General features: G+C 37.7%; 1 annotated feature.

The window, feature by feature from the left end:
* Positions 15,081-15,679: an enhancer, noted in NCBI's record as "NANOG-H3K27ac-H3K4me1 hESC enhancer chr3:115036984-115037582 (GRCh37/hg19 assembly coordinates)". NCBI's record gives its function as "activates a minimal SCP1, AML or CMV promoter by ChIP-STARR-seq in naive H9 embryonic stem cells {active_cell/tissue: H9 hESC(naive)}" and the evidence as "EXISTENCE:reporter gene assay evidence [ECO:0000049][PMID:30033119]".

Here is a 19,859-nt window from a genome sequence, read left to right on the forward strand (position 1 = left end):
ACTGAAAGAAGAAATGTACAAATTCACAATGATAGAGCATGTAGACAGAAAATCAATGAGGATGTGAAAGACCAGAACAACACTGTCAACCAATTTGAAATAAATGACATTTATGGAATAACAATAGCAGAATCACAATGTTTTCATGTGCACCTGGAACAGTTGCCAAGATAAATCATATTTGAGGCCATAGAACAAATCTGAACAAATTTAAAAGGCTTCACATTATACAAGACATATTTCTGGACCACGACATTCAACAACAGGAAGGTACCTAGAAAATTCTCAAATATTCGGAAATTAAGCAATCGTTTTCTAAATAATCTGTGGGTTATACAATAAACCTTAAGGTGAATTAGAAACTAATTTTAATGGAATAAAAATCAAAACAGCAAATAGAAATGTGTGGAAGGGATGGGGCATGGTGGCTGGCTCCTCTAATCCCAGAACTTTGGGAGGCTGAGGTAAAAGGATCACGAGATCTAGAATCTGGGCAACATAGCAAGACCCCATCTCTAAAAAAAAGAAAAATTAACCAGGAGTAGTGGTGTACACCAGTAATTCTGGCTACTTGGGAGGCTGAGGTGGAGGATTGCTTGAGCCCAGGAGTGGGAGACCCTATCTCTTAAAAAAAAAAAAATTAGCCAGGAGTGATGGTGTATACCAGTAGCTCTGGCTACTTGGGAGGCTAAGGTGGAGGACTGCTTGAGCCCAGGAGTTGGAGATTGCAGTGAGCAGTGATCACACCACTGCATTCCAGCCTGGGTGACAAAGAGAGACTGTCTCTCAACAAAAAATTGTGTGAAAGGCAAGTAAAGAGAGTTTACTGAGGTACTTAGAGTATGAAATATTTGTATTAGAAAAGAAGAAATGTTTTAAATCAGTCATCTAAAACTCCACCTTTAGATATGAGAAAAAGAACAAATTAAGCCCAAAGCAAGCAGAAGGAAGAGAATAATAAATAGTAAAGAAATAAATAAAATGAAAGACAATTGAAAATCAATGAGACCAAAAGCTTACTCCTTGAAACTGTTTAAAAATTGATAAACTTTGAGGCCAGGCGCGGTAATCCCAGCACTTTGGGAGGCCGAGGCAGGCAGATCACGAGGTTAGAAGATCGATACCATCCTGGCTAACACGGTGAAACCCCATCTCTACTGAAAATACAAAAAATTAGCCGGGAGTGGTGGCAGGTGCCTGTTGTCCCAGCTACTCGGGAGGCTGAGGCAGGAGAATGGCGTGAACCTGGGAGGCAGAGCTTGCGGCGAGCCGAGATTGTGCCACTGCACTCCAGCCTGGGTGACAAAGCAAGACTCCGTCTCAAAAAAAAAAAAAAAAAAAAAAATTAATTAACTTTGAGTCAGACTGAAGCAAAATTAGTCCGCCAGTATTGAGAAAGAGTGAGGGAATATCACTTGGATTCCTACAGAGAGTAAACAATAACAAGGGAATAATATGAACAAACTTATGCCAAAAATTCTACATTTTAGATGAAGTAGACAAATTCCATGTAAGATACAAACTGTGAAAACTCACTGAAGAATAAATTAACTAAAGCAAGATATGTCTTTTAAATAAATTGAATTTATAGTTAAAAACCTTCCCATACAGAAAACACAAATCCAAATGGATTCGCTGGTACATTCTACCAAAAATTTAAGAAAGAAATAATGCCAATTCCAAAAAAAATTCAGAAAATAGAAGAGGGAACACTTTCCTGATACCATAATCATATTATAAGAAAATAATTACATGACAATATTTCTCATGATTGCAGATGCAGAAAATGTCATATATACAGGTATAATATACTTTATTACCAGAGAGAGTGTATTTCAGGAATGCAAATTTGTTTAGCATTTGAAAAATCCATCAATGCAATTCACCCTTTAAACTAAATAAATTAGAAAAACACATGTTTATAATAGTTACAGAAAAATAATCTGAAAAAATTCAACATGCAGACATGATTTTTTAAAAACCCTGATTAAACTGGGAAAAAGTCTTTTTAAAAAGAAGAGACAAAGTGACAGGGCTTTCACTTTTTGATTTCAATAAAAAACTTAAGATCAAGCAACAGTAATCAACACTGTGTGGTATTGCATGCAGATGAATATATAGATTAGAAGACTAGAAATAAACCCACATATATATGCTCAGTAGATTTGCCACGAAGATGTTGAAGCAATTCACTTGAAGAAAGGACACTTCTAAACAAATTGTGCTGGAAAAACTGGATATTCATTTGGAAATAAAATTGATTCTCACCTCAGACAATACACAAAAAATAAGTACAAATTGATCAGAGATCTAAACATAAAGATAAATCCATAAAACTTCTAGAACACGGCCGGGCGCGGTGGCTCACGCCTGTAATCCCAGCACTTTGGGAGGCCGAGGCGGGCGGATCACGAGGTCAGGAGATCGAGACCATCCCGGCTAAAACGGTGAAACCCCGTCTCTACTAAAAAACTACAAAAAATAGCCGGGCGTAGTGGCGGGCGCCTGTGGTCCTAGCTACTTGGGAGGCTGAGGCAGGAGAATGGCGTGAACCCGGGAGGCGGAGCTTGCAGTGAGCCGAGATCCCGCCACTGCACTCCAGCCTGGGCGACAGAGCGAGACTCCGTCTCAAAAAAAAAAAAAAAAAAAAAAAAAAAAAAAAAAAAAAAAAAAAAAACTTCTAGAACACATAAATCTGTAACACTACTAAAATATAAAAGAAAATCTTCATGACATGACAATGTACAAAGACTTCTTAGGGTATGACAGCATGAACCAAAAGAGTGATAATTGGACATAACCAAAATTTAAAAATTCCTGCTTTTAATAAAAAATTAAAGAGTCAAGCCACAGAGTGGCAGAAAATATTTATGTAAATTAAATGTGCATAATATATATTAAGAATGAGTTCCACAGATTTTTCACAGAAGAAGATATGTGAATGGCCAATAAATATGTGAAATGTTTAATATCATTTGCCATCAGGAAACACAAATTGAAACCACTACATATACATTAACATGGCCAAAAATTTTAAGAGTGGTAGTAACAAGTGCTGTGGGGAATGTAGCAATTGGAACTCAAATTCATGTTAGTGGGAATATAAAATGCTACAACCAACTTGCAAAAACAATGTGCTAGTTTCTTATAAAGTTATGGATACACTTACAATGCAACTTAGCAATTCTCCTAGATATTTACCCGAGAAAATGAAAACATATGTCCACACAAAGATTTATATACTAATATTCACCCAGATTTATACACAGGGTAGCTTTATTTGTAATGCCACAAAACTGGAAACAATTCAACATTTATGAAGATGTCAATAGATAAGTTAATGGTACACATATGCACACAAACAATGGAACACTACTATGCAGTAATGAAGTGGATAGAGCTACTGATGTACAGTGAGGGTCAATCTCAAAAACATTGTATGAAAGAGGCTGGATAGAAAAGCATATACTATATTATTTCATTTGTGGGATAACTTAGAGTAGGCAAACTCATTTATAGTGAGCGAAAGCAGATCAATGGCTGTCTGGTACCCTAAGTGTGATGATTCATGCTAAAGGGCACAAGGGATTTTCTGGGTCATAGAAATGTTCTAGTTCTTGATTGTGATGGTTGTTATATTTGGCAACATTCATGACTAGACACTTAAAATTGATGCATTTTATTATATGCAAATTATATCTTAATGAAGTTGACTTTAAAAAACTCAGTAAGTCTAGAGAAGGGATGCTGAATTGATCAAAAGGACTTGGGATGATGATAAATCTTGGGACTCCCACTTGGAAAGATGATAAATCTGAAATAAGATAAAAGGCTTTAAAATTTGAAGAACAGAAGTAGATGTATATATACTTTCTTTCCAAGATTTAATATTTTAAGAGGAAATGTGTGTCATGAGCTGCATGTTTGTGTCCCACCAAAATCCATATCTTGAAGCCCTAACTCCCAGGGTGGCTGTATTTGGAGATGGGGCCTCTAAGGAAATAATTAAGATTAAAAGAGGTTATAAGGGTGAGGCCCTGATCTGACAGGATTAGTGTCCTTATAAGAGGAGACACCAGAGTGTTCTCTCCCATGCACTCTGCTGTCCCTCCCTCTCTCCCTCAATGCCTGAACCAAGGAAAGGCCATGTGAGGACAAAGAGAAATGCTAGTTAGCTTTTTCAAACCAGGAAAAGCACCACCACCAGACGCTGAATTTGCTGGCATCTTGACCATGGACTTCTAGCCTCCAGAACTATGAGAAAATTAATTTCTGTTGTTTAAGCCATCCTGTCTGCGGTATTTTGTTATGACAACCCTTGCAGCTAAGACAGTATCTTTTAAACTTGAAATGGTAAGTTTAAATAAATAATAGCTTCTAATATGTCACAGAAAATGTAGCAATATTATAAAACTCAAAAGTCCAAGAAGGCAGAGTTTGAATTAAAAAGAAGCAAGCGTAATAGTAGATCATGAAAAACAAAGTCATACATTGTTAGTAGGTGGAACATCAATAGAGTTTAAGGTTTATAGTTATTTTTGTAGTGGTAGGTCAAGAATGGAAATTCTGTCCTTCCACAAAGGGGTTAGGTGTAAGGTACTTTGTCTCTCTCTCTGTCTCGCACAAAGATAGTCTTTCTATGCATATTTCATTGTCTTATCTTTTGTTTCTTAACTACTCTTTGAATATTCTGTATACGTTAATATCACTTGTCATTGAGTCCACGGCTTCCTTACTTCTGTCATAACATATATTAAGTTGTATAAGGAAACCTAAAAACATATTTTCATGGTTTTCCTAGCACCCAGCACAGAGCCTAATGAATTACAGGGACTCTATACCCTGTACCTGAATGTAATCTCTAGGTTTTCTTTTTCAGTCCTAATGTTCATAGCAGTTTGGCATCCCTTCCATTTTACACAGTTCTGCAGCTTAACAATGGCAAAGTAAAAGTAAAAAAAGCTCCAGGAAAAGAGTGAGGAAACTTGAGTTCTGGTTCTGTGAGTTTTTAATCTTGTAAAATTTATCTAATCTCTCTGGCTTTAGCTTTTTCATCTATAGAATGGGGATAAAACCTGACTTCATTACTCCAGAGGATGTTATGAAAATGAAATGAGGTAATGTATGTGAAAATGACTTCTTAACTTGCAAGTTCAATATAAATATGTTATCATCATTGTGTTTACCTTGACATTATCAGACCTTATAAATTGTACCTGCTTTTGGGCCTAATATACAGAATTCACAATGTCCCTGTCATGGCTTGGTTATATTCCCATTGCCAAAATGACTTTTGAAGAGAAGGAGTAATTGAGTTTACTTATATCAATTCTTTTTAATAGTCGGTATAAAAAAATTGTCAAATTCTTATTTTAAAATAAAAACAAGAAAAATTAATTTTATTACTATTCTTAATTTTGATTTCTCCTATAGTAATCAATACCTTATTTTCCATATACCCAACCACTCATGAAGACTTTATTATTTATATCATGAAAGATTTTCATTTAAGTCAGTTGAAATATGTATTAATATGTTATCCCTCATCATTTACCTAAAATTGGGAAAAAATTACATATAAATATAAAAATGCAGTGACACAAAAGCAATGAGTTTTACATTATCAACTCTCATACCAAAAATGTAGGCTTTGTAGTGTACACCCTTTTCCTGAAAGATGCAGCAAGCTTAATGCAGCACTAAAGAAGTGCATTAAATTTTGTATGAAATGGAAACATGGAAATACCCATTTATTTGAACTTAAGGTTATGGCAAAGCAGCATATGATCAGGAGTTGTTGCATCAGCATCTGCAGGAACCAAAAGAGAGTGATGGAACAAATCTTTCAAAAATACATGTCATTTGCCAATTTTTTATGTCCTAGCTTTCCAACACTTTTTTAGCTTATACAGAATTCTCTCCACTCAGTGGCATATGAAATTTCTCCATGGAGTTTATGATGTTTTCATAAAATCAAGTAGTCTCTGACAAATTTATGTCCAATCCCTCCATTAAAGCTCATTCTCCCTGTTCTTATTATGGAGGTAAGGTACCATTGTATCTTGAACTGATCATTTGTAGCCCACTATCAATAAATGCCAAACACCATGGAATTTCATTTCATTTTAAACATGTCATTTTTTTAAATGGTGGACTTTAAATAAATATATATATTTTAAATCCCAATATTTGTTTTACTACCACGGGAAATATTTCCTAGTATTCTTAGAAAAAACGTAAGTGCTCAGAAATACGTAAAATATACACCAGGGGTACAAATTGGAGAATAATCAAATATGCTGATTGGGAAAGTCATCAGGAAGTGACCCCTGAGATTGGTATAAAAGAATGAGCATGAACTTCCAGGAAGATAAGAAAAGGAGTACTTTCTATTAAAAGAAAATAGATGAGAATATTGAAGTGGTGGGGAACAAGGTTGGAAAAATAAGTAATTAGATTAAAGAGGTCCAAGTAAGAAGCCTGGACTTAACTCTGCATGCAAAAGGGAGATGCCAAAGCATCTTTTAAAAGTAATAGCTTTATTGCAATTTATTGATAATTCATCTTTTGGTGTTCATTCAGTGGTTTTTACTATATTCACAGTGTTATGCAATGGTCACCACAATATGATTTCAGAACATTTTTACTATTCCCCCCCAAAACACTCTGTACCCATTAATAGTTGCCCATCATTTACCCCTACCCATCCCCTAGCCATCACCAATCTACTTCTGTCTTTATGGAACATATTCACTATGTTTTATGTAAATGGAATTTCATAATATGTTATATTTTGTGGCTAGCTTCTTTTACTCAACATAATGTTTTCAAGGTTCATCCATGTTGTAGCATGTATCAGCACTTCATTTCTTTTATGGCTGAATAATATTACATTTTATGGATGTACTACATCTTTTAAATTTTATCAATTGCTGGATATTTGAGTTTGGCTTTTTGGCTATTATGAATTCTGCTGCTATGAATATCTGTGTACAAGTTTTGTGTGAGCCTACGTTTATATTTCTCTTGGGTATATAGCTAGAAGAGGAATTACTGGGTTTTATGGATAACTTTATGTTTAATTTTTTGAGGAACTGCCACACTGTTTTCCAAAGTGGCTGCACTATTTTATGTTTCCACCAGCAGTATGTGAGGGTTCCAATTTCTCCATAGTTTTAGAAACACATGTTAGTGTCTATGTTTATTTCAACCATCCCAGTGAGTGTGAAGTGGTATTTTATTGTGATTATGATTTGTGCTCCCCTGATTATTACTGATCTTGAGATTTTTACATACTTAGTGGTCATTTGTATGTCATTTGTATGTTTATTCAAATTCGTTTGTGTTAGTCAGCCAGGCATATCATAAAAAACCACAGAGTGGGTGGCTTAAATAACACAAATTTATCTTCTCACCGTTCTGGATGCTGAAAGTCTAAGATTGAGGTGTTGGCAGGTTTTGTTTCTCCTGAGGCCTTTCTCTTTGGCTTGGGGATAACTGCTGGTCACCACACCCTTATTTGGCCTCTATGCCTGCACCTCAAAACTCTTCCTGTAAGGAAACCATATTGGATTAGGACTCCACCCTTATGACATCATTTAACCTTAATTACCTAATTATACTACATATCTCCAAATAAAGCGACATAAGACATTAAGGCTTCAGAATATAAAATTGGGGGGTACACAGTTTAGTTCATAACACATTTTTTAATGGAGTTATATGTCATTTTTTCTTTTTTTGAGGCAGAGTCTCACTCTGTCACGCAGGCTGCAGTGGCTGGAGTGCAGTGATGCGATCATGGCTCACTGCAGCCTCGACCTCCCTGAGCTCAGGCAATCCTCCCACCTCAGTCTACTGAGTAGCTGGGACTACAGGTGTGAGCTACCACATACCCAGTTAATTTTGTATTTTTTATAGAGATGGAGTTTTGCCATATTGCCCAGGATGGTCTCGAATTCCTGGGCTCACGTGTTCTGCCCACCTTGACCTCCCAAAGTGCTAGGATTACAGGTGTGAGCCACCATGCCTGGCTTATATGTCATTTTAATTACAGAGTTGTAGAATAATTATGTATTCTGGATACAAGTCCCTTATTAGATGTATGAATTTACAAATATTTTCTCCCATTTCATGAGTTGATCTTTCTTGAAGGTGTCCTTTGAAACAGAAAAGTTTTAAATTCTGATGAAGTCCAATTTATCTGTTTTTTCTCTAACCACTTGTACTTTAAGCGTCATATCCATGAAATCATTGCCTGACCCAAGGTCACAAAGAGTTACTCCTGTGTTTTCTTCTAAGAGTAGTTTTAGATTTTACATTTAAGTCTTTCACTCATTTTGAATTAATTTTGTAGATGGAATGAGGTAGGGTTTCAACTTCATTCTTTTGCAATTAGATATCCAGTTGTTCCAATACTATTTGTTGAAGGCTATTCTTCCACTATTGAATGATCTTTGCACCCTTGTTGAAAATTAATTGGGCATAAATTCAGGCTTTCTAATATGAAATCTGAATTCAATTCCATTGATCTGTATATCTTACATTATTTCAATAGCACATTGTCTTGTTTATTATACTTTTATAGTAAGTTTTGAAATTGGAAGTGTGAGTTCTCTAACTGTTCACTTTAAAAATTGTTACTTGCATTTCAGTGTGAATTTTAGGATCCATTTGTCAATTTATGCATAAAAGACAGCTGAATTTTTATAGGTATTATGTTGAATCTGTGGATCAGTTTGGAAACTTTATTGCCATTTTAACAATATCAAGTCTTTTGATCCATAGGCTATCTATACACATATTTAGTTTTTCTTTAAATTTTTTCAACAATGTTTTGTAGTTTTCAGTGTAGAAGTCCTGTACTTCTTTTGTTAAATTTATTCCCAAGTATTTTATTTTTTGATGCAATTTCAAAACTGGTTCTCTTAATTTTTTTTCAGATTTCTCATTGCTAGTGTATGAATATACACTTAATTTTTTCATATTTGTCTTGTATCTTACAACACTGCCAAAGTCATTTGTTAGTTTTCATAGTTTTTGATAGATTCCTTAGAATGTTCTATGTGCAAGATCATGTCATCTAAAAACATGGTTTAACTTCTTTCTTTCCAATCTGGATGCCTCTTACTTCCTTTTCGTGCCTAGTTTCCCTAGCTAAAATCTCCAATCAGTGTTGAATAGGAGTAGCAAGAGTGTATAACCCCGTCTTCCTTATATTAGAATAAGACATTCAGTCTTTTTATTTTATTTTATTTTATTATTATACTTTAAGTTTTAGGGTACATGTGCACAATGTGCAGGTTAGTTACATATGTATACATGTGACATGCTGGTGTGCTGCACCCACTAACTCGTCATCTAGCATTAGGTATATCTCCCAATGCTATCCCTCCCCCTCCCTCCACCCCACAACAGTCCCCAGAGTGTGATGTTCCCCTTCCTGTGTCCATGTGTTCTCATTGTTCAATTCCCACCTATGAGTGAGAATATGCGGTGTTTCGTTTTTTGTTCTTGCGATAGTTTACTGAGAATGATGATTTCCAATTTCATCCATGTCCCTACAAAGGACACGAACTCATCATTTTTTATGGCTGCATGGTACTCCATGGTGTATATGTGCCACATTTTCTTAATCCAGTCTATCCTTGTTGGACATTTGGGTTGGTTCCAAGTCTTTGCTATTGTGAATAGTGCTGCAATAAACATACGTGTACATGTGTCTTTATAGCAGCATGATTTATAGTCCTTTGGGTATATACCCAGTAATGGGATGGCTGGGTCAAATGGTATTTCTAGTTCTAGATCCCTGAGGAATCGCCACACTGACTTCCACAATGGTTGAACTAGTTTACAGTCCCACCAACAGTGTAAAAGTGTTCCTATTTCTCCACATCCTCTCCAGCACCTGTTGTTTCCTGACTTTTTAATGATTGCCATTCTAACTGATGTGAGATGATATCTCATTGTGGTTTTGATTTGCATTTCTCTGATGGCCAGTGATGGTGAGCATTTTTTCATGTGTTTTTTGGCTGCATAAATGTCTTCTTTTGAGAAGTGTCTGTTCATGTCCTTTGCCCACTTTTTGATGGGGTTCTTTGTTTTTTTTCTTGTAAATTTGTTGGAGTTCATTGTAGATTCTGGATATTAGCCCTTTGTCAGATGAGTAGGTGGCGAAAATTTTCTCCCATTTTGTAGGTTGCCTGTTCACTCTGATGGTAGTTTCTTTTGCTGTGCAGAAGCTCTTTAGTTTAATTAGATCCCATTTGTCAATTTTGGCTTTTGTTGCCATTGCTTTTGGTGTTTCACACATGAAGTCCTTGCCCGTGCCTATGTCCTAAGTGGTAATGCCTAGGTTTTCTTCTAGGGTTTTTATGGTATTAGGTCTAATGTTTAAGTCTTTAATGCATCTTGAATTGATTTTTGTATAAGGCATAAGGAAGGGATCCAGTTTCAGCTTTCTCCATATGGCTAGCCAGTTTTCCCAGCACCATTTATTAAATAGGGAATCCTTTCCCCATTGCTTGTTTTTCTCAGGTTTGTCAAAGATCAGATAGTTGTAGATATGCGGCATTATTTCTGAGGGCTCTGTTCTGTTCCACTGATCTATATCTCTGTTTTGGTAACACTACCATGCTGTTTTGGTTACTGTAACCTTGTAGTATAGTTTGAAGTCAGGTAGCGTGATGCCTCCAGCTTTGTTCTTTTGGCTTAGGATTGACTTGGCAATGCAGGCTCTTTTTTGGTTCCATATGAACTTTAAAGTAGTTTTTTCCAATTCTGTGAAGAAAGTCATTGGTAGCTTGATGGGGATGGCACTGAATCTATAAATTACCTTGGGCAGTATGGCCAGTTTCACGATATTGATTCTTCCTACCCATGAGCATGGAATGTTCTTCCATTTGTTTGTATCCTCTTTTATTTCGTTGAGCAGTGGTTTGTAGTTCTCCTTGAAGAGGTCCTTCACGTCCCTTGTAAGGTGGATTCCTAAGTATTTTATTCTCTTTGAAGCAATTGTGAATGGGAGTTCACTCATGATTTGGCTCTCTGTTTGTCTGTTATTGGTGTGTAAGAATGCTTGTGATTTTTGTACATTGATTTTGTATCCTGAGACTGCTGAAGTTGCTTATCAGCTTAAGGAGATTTTGGGCTGAGACAATGGGGTTTTCTAGATATACAATCATGTTGTCTGCAAACAGGGACAATTTGACTTCCTCTTTTCCTAATTGAATACCCTTTATTTCCTTCTCCTTCCTGATTGCCCTGGCCATAACTTCCAACACTATGTTGAATAGGAGTGGTGAGAGAGGGCATCTGTGTCTTGTGCCAGTTTTCAAAGGGAATGCTTCCAGTTTTTGCCCATTCAATATGATATTGGCTGTGGGTTTGTCATAGATAGCTCTTATTATTTTGAGATATGTCCCATCAATACCTAATTTATTGAGAGTTTTTAGCATGAAAGGTTGTTGAATTTTGTCAAAGGCCTTTTCTGCATCTATTGAGATAATCATGTGGTTTTTGTCTTTGGTTCTGTTTATATGCTGGATTACATTTATTGATTTGCGTATATTGAACCAGCCTTGCATCCCAGGGATGAAGCCCACTTGATCATGGTGGATAAGCTTTTTGATGTGCTGCTGGATTCAGTTTTCCAGTATTTTATTGAGGATTTTTGTATCAGTGTTCATCAAGGATATTGGTCTAAAATTCCCTTTTTTGCTTGTGTCTCTGCCCGGCTTTGGTATCAGGATGATGCTGGCCTCATAAAATGAGTTAGGGAGGATTCCCTCTTTTTCTATTGATTGGAATAGTTCAGAAGGAATGGTACCAGTTCCTCCTTGTACCTCTGGTAGAATTCGGCTGTGAATCCATCTGGTCCTGGACTCTTTTTGGTTGGTAAGCTATGGATTATTGCCACAATTTCAGCTCCTGTTATTGGTCTATTCAGAGATTCAACTTCTTCCTGGTTTAGTCTTGGGAGAGTGTATGTGTCGAGGAATTTATCCATTTCTTCTAGATTTTCTACTAGATTTTCTAGTTTATTTGCATAGAGGTGTTTGTAGTATTCTCTAATGGTAGTTTGTAGTTCTGTGGGATCGGTGGTGATATCCCCTTTATCATTTTTTATTGCATCTATTTGATTCTTCTCTCTTTTTTTCTTTATTAGTCTTGCTAGTGGTCTATCAATTTTGTTGATCCTTTCAAAAAACCAGCTCCTGGATTCATTAATTTTTTGAAGGGTTTTTTGTGTCTCTATTTCCTTCAGTTCTGTTCTGATTTTAGTTATTTCTTGCCTTCTGCTAGCTTTTGAATGTGTTTGCTCTTGCTTTTCTAGTTCTTTTAATTGTGATGTTAGGGTGTCAATTTTGGATCTTTCCTGCTTTCTCTTGTGGGCATTTAGTGCTATAAATTTCCCTCTACACACTGCTTTGAATGTGTCCCAGAGATTCTGGTATGTTGTGTCTTTGTTCTCGTTGGTTTCAAAGAACATCTTTATTTCTGCCTTCATTTTGTTATGTACCCAGTAGTCATTCAGGAGCAGGTTGTTCAGTTTCCATGTAGTTGAGTGGTTTTGAGTGAGTTTCTTAATCCTGAGTTCTAGTTTGATTGCACTGTGGTCTGAGAGATAGTTTGTTATAATCTCTGTTCTTTTACATTTGCTGAGGAGAGCTTTACTTCCAAGTATGTGGTCAATTTTGGAATAGGTGTGGTGTGGTGCTGAAAAAAATGTATATTCTGTTGATTTGGGGTGGAGAGTTCTGTAGATGTCTATTAGGTCTGCTTGGTGCAGAGCTGAGTTCAATTCCTGGGTATCCTTGTTGACTTTCTGTCTCGTTGATCTGTCTAATGTTGACAGTGGGGTGTTAAAGTCTCCTATTATTATTGTGTGGGAGTCTAAGTCTCTTTGTAGGTCACTCAGAACTTGCTTTATGAATCTGGGTGCTCCTGTATTAGGTGCATATATATTTAGGATAGTTAGCTCTTCTTGTTGAATTGATCCCTTTACCATTATGTAATGGCCTTCTTTGTCTCTTTTGATCTTTGCTGGCTTAAAGTCTGTTTTATCAGAGACTAGGATTGCAACCCCTGCCTTTTTTTGTTTTCCATTTGCTTGGTAGATCTTCCTCCATCCTTTTATTTTGAGCCTATGTGTGTCTCTGCATGTGAGATGGGTTTCCTGAATACAGCACACTGATGGGTCTTGACTCTTTATCCAATTTGCCAGTCTGTGTCTTTTAATTGGAGCATTTAGTCCATTTACATTTAAAGTTAATATTGTTATGTGTGAATCTGAACCTGTCATTATGATGTTAGCTGGTTATTTTGCTCATTAGTTGATGCAGTTTCTTCCTAGTCTTGATGGTCTTTACATTTTGGCATGATTTTGCAGCAGCTGGTACCGGTTGTTCCTTTCCATGTTTAGTGTTTCCTTCAGGAGCTCTTTTAGGGCAGGCCTGGTGGTGACAAAATCTCTCAGCATTTGCTTGTCTGTAAAGTATTTTATTTCTCCTTCACTTATGAAGCTTAGTTTGGCTGGATATGAAATTCTGGGTTGAAAATTCTTTTCTTAAAGAATGTTGAATATCGGCCCCCACTCTCTTCTGGCTTGTAGAGTTTCTGCCAAGAGATCTGCTGTTAGTCTGATGGGCTTCCCTTTGTGGGTAACCCGACCTTTCTCTCTGGCTGCTCTTAACATTTTTTCCTTCATTTCAACTTTGGTGAATCTGACAATTATGTGTCTTGGAGTTGCTCTTCTCGAGGAGTATCTTTGTGGCGTTCTCTGTATTTCCTGAATCTGAATGTTGGCCTGACTTGCTAGATTGGGGAAGTTCTCCTGGATAATATCCTGCAGAGTGTTTTCCAACTTGGTTCCATTCTCCCCGTCACTTTCAGGTACACCAATCAGACGTAGATTTGGTCTTTTCACATAGTCCCATATTTCTTGGAGGCTTTGTTCATTTCTTTTTATTCTTTTTTCTCTAAACTTCCCTTCTCGCTTCATTTCATTCATTTCATCTTCCATCACTGATACCCTTTCTTCCAGTGGATCGCATCAGCTCCTGAGGTTTCTGCATTCTTCACGTAGTTCTCGAGCCTTGGCTTTCAGATCCATCAGCTCCTTTAAGCACTTCTCTATATTGGTTATTCTAGTTATACATTCGTCTAAATTTTTTTCAAAGTTTTTAACTTCTTTGCCTTTGGTTTGAATTTCCTCCTGTAGCTCGTAGTTTGATCGTCTGAAGCCTTCTTCTCTCAACTCGTCAAAGTCATTCTCCGTCCAGCTTTGTTCCATTGCTGGTGAGGAACTGCGATCCTTTGGAGGAGTAGAGGTGCTCTGCTTTTTAGAGTTTCCAGTTTTTCTGCTCTGTTTTTTCCTCATCTTTGTGGTTTTATCTACTTTTGGTCTTTGATGATGGTGATGCACAGATGGGTTTTTGGTGTGGATGTCCTTTCTGTTTGTTAGTTTTCCTTGTAACAGACAGGACCCTCAGCTGCAGGTCTGTTGGAGTTTGCTAGAGGTCCACTCCAGACCCTGTTTGCCTGGGTATCAGCAGCAGTGTCTGCCGAACAGTGGTTTTTCGTGAACCGCGAATGCTGCTGTCTGATCGTTCCTCTGGAAGTTTTGTCTCAGAGGAGTACCCGGCCGTGTGAGGTGTCAGTCTGCCCTACTGGGGGGTGCCTCCAAGTTAGGCTGCTCGGGGGTCAGGGGTCAGGGACCCACTTGAGGAGGCAGTCTGCCTGTTCTCAGATCTCCAGCTGCGTGCTGGGAGAACCACTGCTCTCTTCAAAGCTGTCAGACAGGGACATTTAAGTCTGCAGAGGTTACTGCTGTCTTTTTGTTTGTCTGTGCCCTGCCCCCAGAGGTGGAGCCTACAGAGGCAGGCAGGCCTCCTTGAGCTGTGGTGGGCTCCACCCAGTTGGAGCTTCCCGGCTGCTTTGTTTACCTAAGCAAGCCTAGGCAATGGTGGGCGCCCCTCCCCCAGCCTCGCTGCCGCCTTGCAGTTTGATCTCAGACTGCCCTGCTAGCAATCAGCGAGACTCCGTGGACGTAGGACCCTCCGAGCCAGGTGCAGGATATGATCTCCTGGTGCGCCGCTTTTTTAAGCCCGTCGGAAAAGCGCAGTATTCGGGTGGGAGGGACCGGATTTTCCAGGTGCCGTCTATCACCCCTTTCTTTGACTAGGAAAGGGAACTCCCTGACCCCTTGCACTTCCTGAGTGAGGCAATGCCTTGCCCTGCTTCGGCTCCCGCTAGGTGCGCTGCACCCACTGACCTGCGCCCACTGTCTGGCACTCCCTAGTGAGATGAACCCAGTACCTCAGATGGAAATGCAGAAATCACCCGTCTTCTGCGTCGCTCACGCTGGGAGCTGTAGACCGGAGCTGTTCCTATTCGGCCATCTTGGCTCCTCCCGACATTCGATGTTTCACCATCAAGTATGACATTAGCTGTGAGTGTTTCATCGATGTCCTTTATCAAGTTAAAGAAGTTCTCTTCTATTCCTAGTTTAAGTGTTTTTATCATGCAAAGTTGTTGGATTTTGACACATGCTTTTTCATTGTCTGTCAAGATAATAACATGGTTTTTGTCCATTATTTGATTCATGTGCTGTATTGATTGCTTTTTATATGTGGAAGCAACTTTTCTTCTGGGGTAAACCCATATTGTGGTGTATAATCCTATTTACATGTTGTTGGGCTCAGTTTGCTAATAATATTTTGTTATTGGTGATTTTTGCGTCTATATTTATGAGGGATATTGGTCTGTACTTTCATTTCTTGTGATATCTTTGCCTGGTTTTGATATCAGGGTAATATTGGCCTCATAGAAAATGTTAAAAGATTGTTTTGATAGTGTTTGAGTTGGTGTTTTAACATTAAATATTTTAAGTAAGACAGTGGTGCTGAAGCTTAACTTGGTCAGCGGTAATATAATTTTTCAGCGAGATCATTCCAAAGCATGGTGAATGGATTAGAAAATGCAGGTGAGACGTGGAGCCTGGGAGACCAGTGAGGAGTTAATGAAATGACTCAAATTGGAAAAGATAAGCTTCTGAATTGAGGTTGTGAGCATGAAGAGTTAAAGAAAGGACTAAGTACAAAACATATTCAGGAGGTATATGACACATCTTATTTCTATCTTCTTTAAGTTGTCTTTTCTTGGTTTTCAAAGGATAGGTATACAGGCCTTTGAGGTTCTTTTATTTTTATTTCTGTTGGTGCTACTGCTCTCCCTTTCTTTATGACACTGGTGTTAGGGAAATTATTATCTTTGCCTTTATAAAGCTGAGACCAGATGAATTTTAGAAAATAAACTTTGCTAAAGAACCCAGAGAAAAACAAAAGAGCAATAAGAAAACAAAGTGTGCACAAAATGCGTCAAAACACTATTAGTCAAACATATTACAGGTTTCTGACACCCCAGTAGCTAATTCTTAGCAGGCAAGCAAGCCCAGTACAAGGGCCTACCCTATACAAGGGTCAAACCCAGGAAATTCTTTTTTTTTTCTTTCCTCTTATGCCCCTTGTACCAGAGTTCACCTCCAAAGAGATTATCTATAAAAAATAATGAGTATTGCAGATGTTTGATGAGCCATTCTTGGTAAAACAATTGCACTTTCATTAAGAGTCTATCATCATAGAAAGAAATTGTCTGGGAACAGAGAGTCATTTTCTATATCCCTCAAAGAATAAGGTCACTTAGGAAGTCCTTTCTTTCCTATGTGGCAGTGTTCAGTCTCAGATATTCTGCATCTTGGTAGAGATATCAGCTGTCTCTTCTGTCTCCCAAAGGAGACAGAAAGTGATCTACTCATTTATTCATTAAACTAACTCTTTTTATGACAGCTCGCTATGTATCTGTCAGTAACTTGCTGGGCCTTAGGTTACAATAAAAAGGTCCATTCATTGTCTTTAGGAGGCAGGAGTTGAGGGGACCAGGGCCAACACCTAGAGGGTCATTGTAGTACAGTATGATGAGAAAGATGATAAAAGTAGATGTAGAATGCACAAAGAAAATACATCTCAGTTGAACATAATGTGAAGAAAGAGTGTCTTGGAAGGCTTCATGGAAGGAGCAATGGTTTGTCTTTGAATAATTTGTAGTGGTTAGCCAGGAGGAAAAAAAGGGGGAAATCACTACTGGGGAAAAGCATTAAATCAATTAACTAAAAACTACTTAGATTTTGCACTTATTTGCCTTCATGGTACACTAAAATTCTCTTTGAAGTGTCCAAAATAGTAAACCAACTAGTCAACTGATAGAACACTGGAATGAGGCTCACAGATTGCTTAGTAGAATAAACCCTTCCACAAATTGCTGTGTCTTCCTAAGCCTTAATTATTTTAACCTTAAAACAAAGGATCTGAACTCTATGACCTTTTCTGTGCTTGCATTGTATGCTCTTCCTAAGAGGAATAATCACTTCTCTGGAAATGTAGAGATATCCAGAAGGGGCTTTTTGGAGTATAACTCTAATCCTGGGATAGTTGGAGAGTTTTTTGGTGTGTGGGAATTGAGTGGACTGGAACTGTAGGTAGCCTCAAACGCAGTTCTGTGGCTTCAGCACCACTTATTTGGGAGTTGATCAGAGGAGGGAAAGAAGGTAGAGATGGTTGTAATGACTTGGGTTGTAGGTGATTCAGAAAGGAATTTGAAAAGTTTAGTTATTGAAGATGCTTTTAATCTATTGATTTACTTTTACCTGCTCTACACATAGTTTTTTCTGCCATTCTGGAATTCAGAAACTGTGGTCTTACATAGCAACAGTGGGGTGTGTGCATCTACTCAAAGCACTTATGGGCCAGAAATTCCATTAACTTGTTGTTGTTGTTGTTGTTGTTGTTGTTTTTATCCCTAAGGAATCCTTTATCTTGTTATTCCTGAGTTTTCCAGAAAGGAAATGCAGAAAGTGTTAACTGCAGAGATATCATTCTTGTGGAAGATGCCTATAAATGTGAATTGTATACCAGAAACACAAACTAGTGTCCTGGGCTTAGTGCAGGAAATGTTTGACTACATATGGCTACTATATTTAAAGATTACAAGTCATAATCTTAAACTAAGATTTAACATACAAATTTGAATTCCTAGCTTCTCTGTAAAATCAGAAGATTTGACAACATTGGATCCCTGATCTTAATGACAACAATTAGTTGTACTTGAGTAGTAGATGCCCCATTTATACGGGGGATGTGCTCATAATTTTAATTCATTGTGTTTCAGTTTTTCTACTTTTAAATTAGAGGATAATAAGGGAACTGCGTCGTATGGCTTTTTTTGTGGATTAAGTAAATCAATATCTCTAAATCTCCTCAAACCATGCTTGGTACAAAATAGGTGCTATATCAATGTTTGCTCTGCTAGTGATTATTATCTCTTCCCAATTAAACATAGTCTTCACAACTCTCTATTGTCTTGCATCCATCCTGAGTTACTCATTTCCTGCCTGGCTCCTATAAACATTTGTGTTTTGATCCCTGCTGTTGGCTTTTAACATTTGTGAATTTGACATCTGTGATTTTAACTACTCTAAAGCCACCCAAATATCCATGACTCATTGAGATTTGTGATTTTGTTGAAGCAATAATTAGAATCACTCATCTCGAAAGCCTGGTCAGCAGAAACAAACCACTTAGCCAGTGAGTGGGCGTAGCTCAGCATCCGCTTCTCATGTGGTGCTGTTGTTCTGTTTTATGCAATAACTCTCCTGAAGGGGTACCTAGAAGGGGATGTCTATTGTAGTACTCATTTGGCCATCAATCCATGCCCTCTGTGCACCTCAGGATCTATAATGTATCTTTTCACTGTGATATAATGTTATCCTTGCTTCCACAATAAACACTCTAATAAAATGCTATCCTGTGACTCAGAAAGTTGGAACATTTGAAAAATAAATATAATTCCAAATGCAATTGTGTATTCACAATTAGAAAAGAAGGAAAATGGGGATCTAGTTAGAAACTAAAGTGGCGGCACAGGGAGAACCCAAAAGCTCAGTTTTTTAATAGACCCACACTGAAGACAGCAAGAAGAGCATCAAAAGTGAATATAAAAAGAATGTCAGGCACCTGGAAAAACAGTCAAGGAAAGCAAAAGTCCAGCAGGAGTGCACTTAAAAAAATCAAACCAAGAGTAATACAAAGGGCTTGGGCTGAAGGAAGAAGAATATAAAGTACAGGTGAGGTCTGCTGCTGCAGAAAGATTAGCAGAGTGATAGAGACAAGGCAGAACTTCCTGAATCAGGTCTTGTGATCATCTTTTCTGGTAACTGAAGATGTCCAGCATTGAAATGGGTTGCCTAGTACAGTTGTGAGGTTTTGACCATTGCAAGAACTTCAGCAATGTCTAGAAAATTACTAGTCAGGGATGTGGTGCCACATAGCCTGGCTCTTAGATCTTCCTCTGCTCTGGTGGATGAGGATAATGAGCTCTGCAGGAAGGCCCTGAATCCCCCTCTTATACCCAGGAAGTATCCTAGGATGGACCCTACTTTCTTTTTTCCTATTGCTTCCTCTCTTATGTATGCCTCTCTTCCTACCTCCTTTAGATTAAGGTTTTGTTTGGCTCTAAGCTTTAGTTTCACTATGGGATATGATTTTTTCAGAGATCTCCTGGGTCTGTTTTACTCACCCAGAGTAAAACCACTCATCTAGGAGAAGAATTAGCATATATGTTATCATAAATCTAATGACCAAATGAAGGAATATCATTTTTTTCTTTATGTCAACGGGCATATTTTTCTTTTCTATTTGATGAGCTTTCACTGTAAGTAGGCCAAATTGCCCTTGTAGATAGGTTCATATAATTGGAAGACTATGACTTTATAGTATTTGGAGAAAGCAGACACACCTTCCCAG

This window comes from Homo sapiens, chromosome 3, assembly GCF_000001405.40.
Source record: "Homo sapiens chromosome 3, GRCh38.p14 Primary Assembly".
Taxonomy (NCBI): domain Eukaryota; kingdom Metazoa; phylum Chordata; class Mammalia; order Primates; family Hominidae; genus Homo; species Homo sapiens.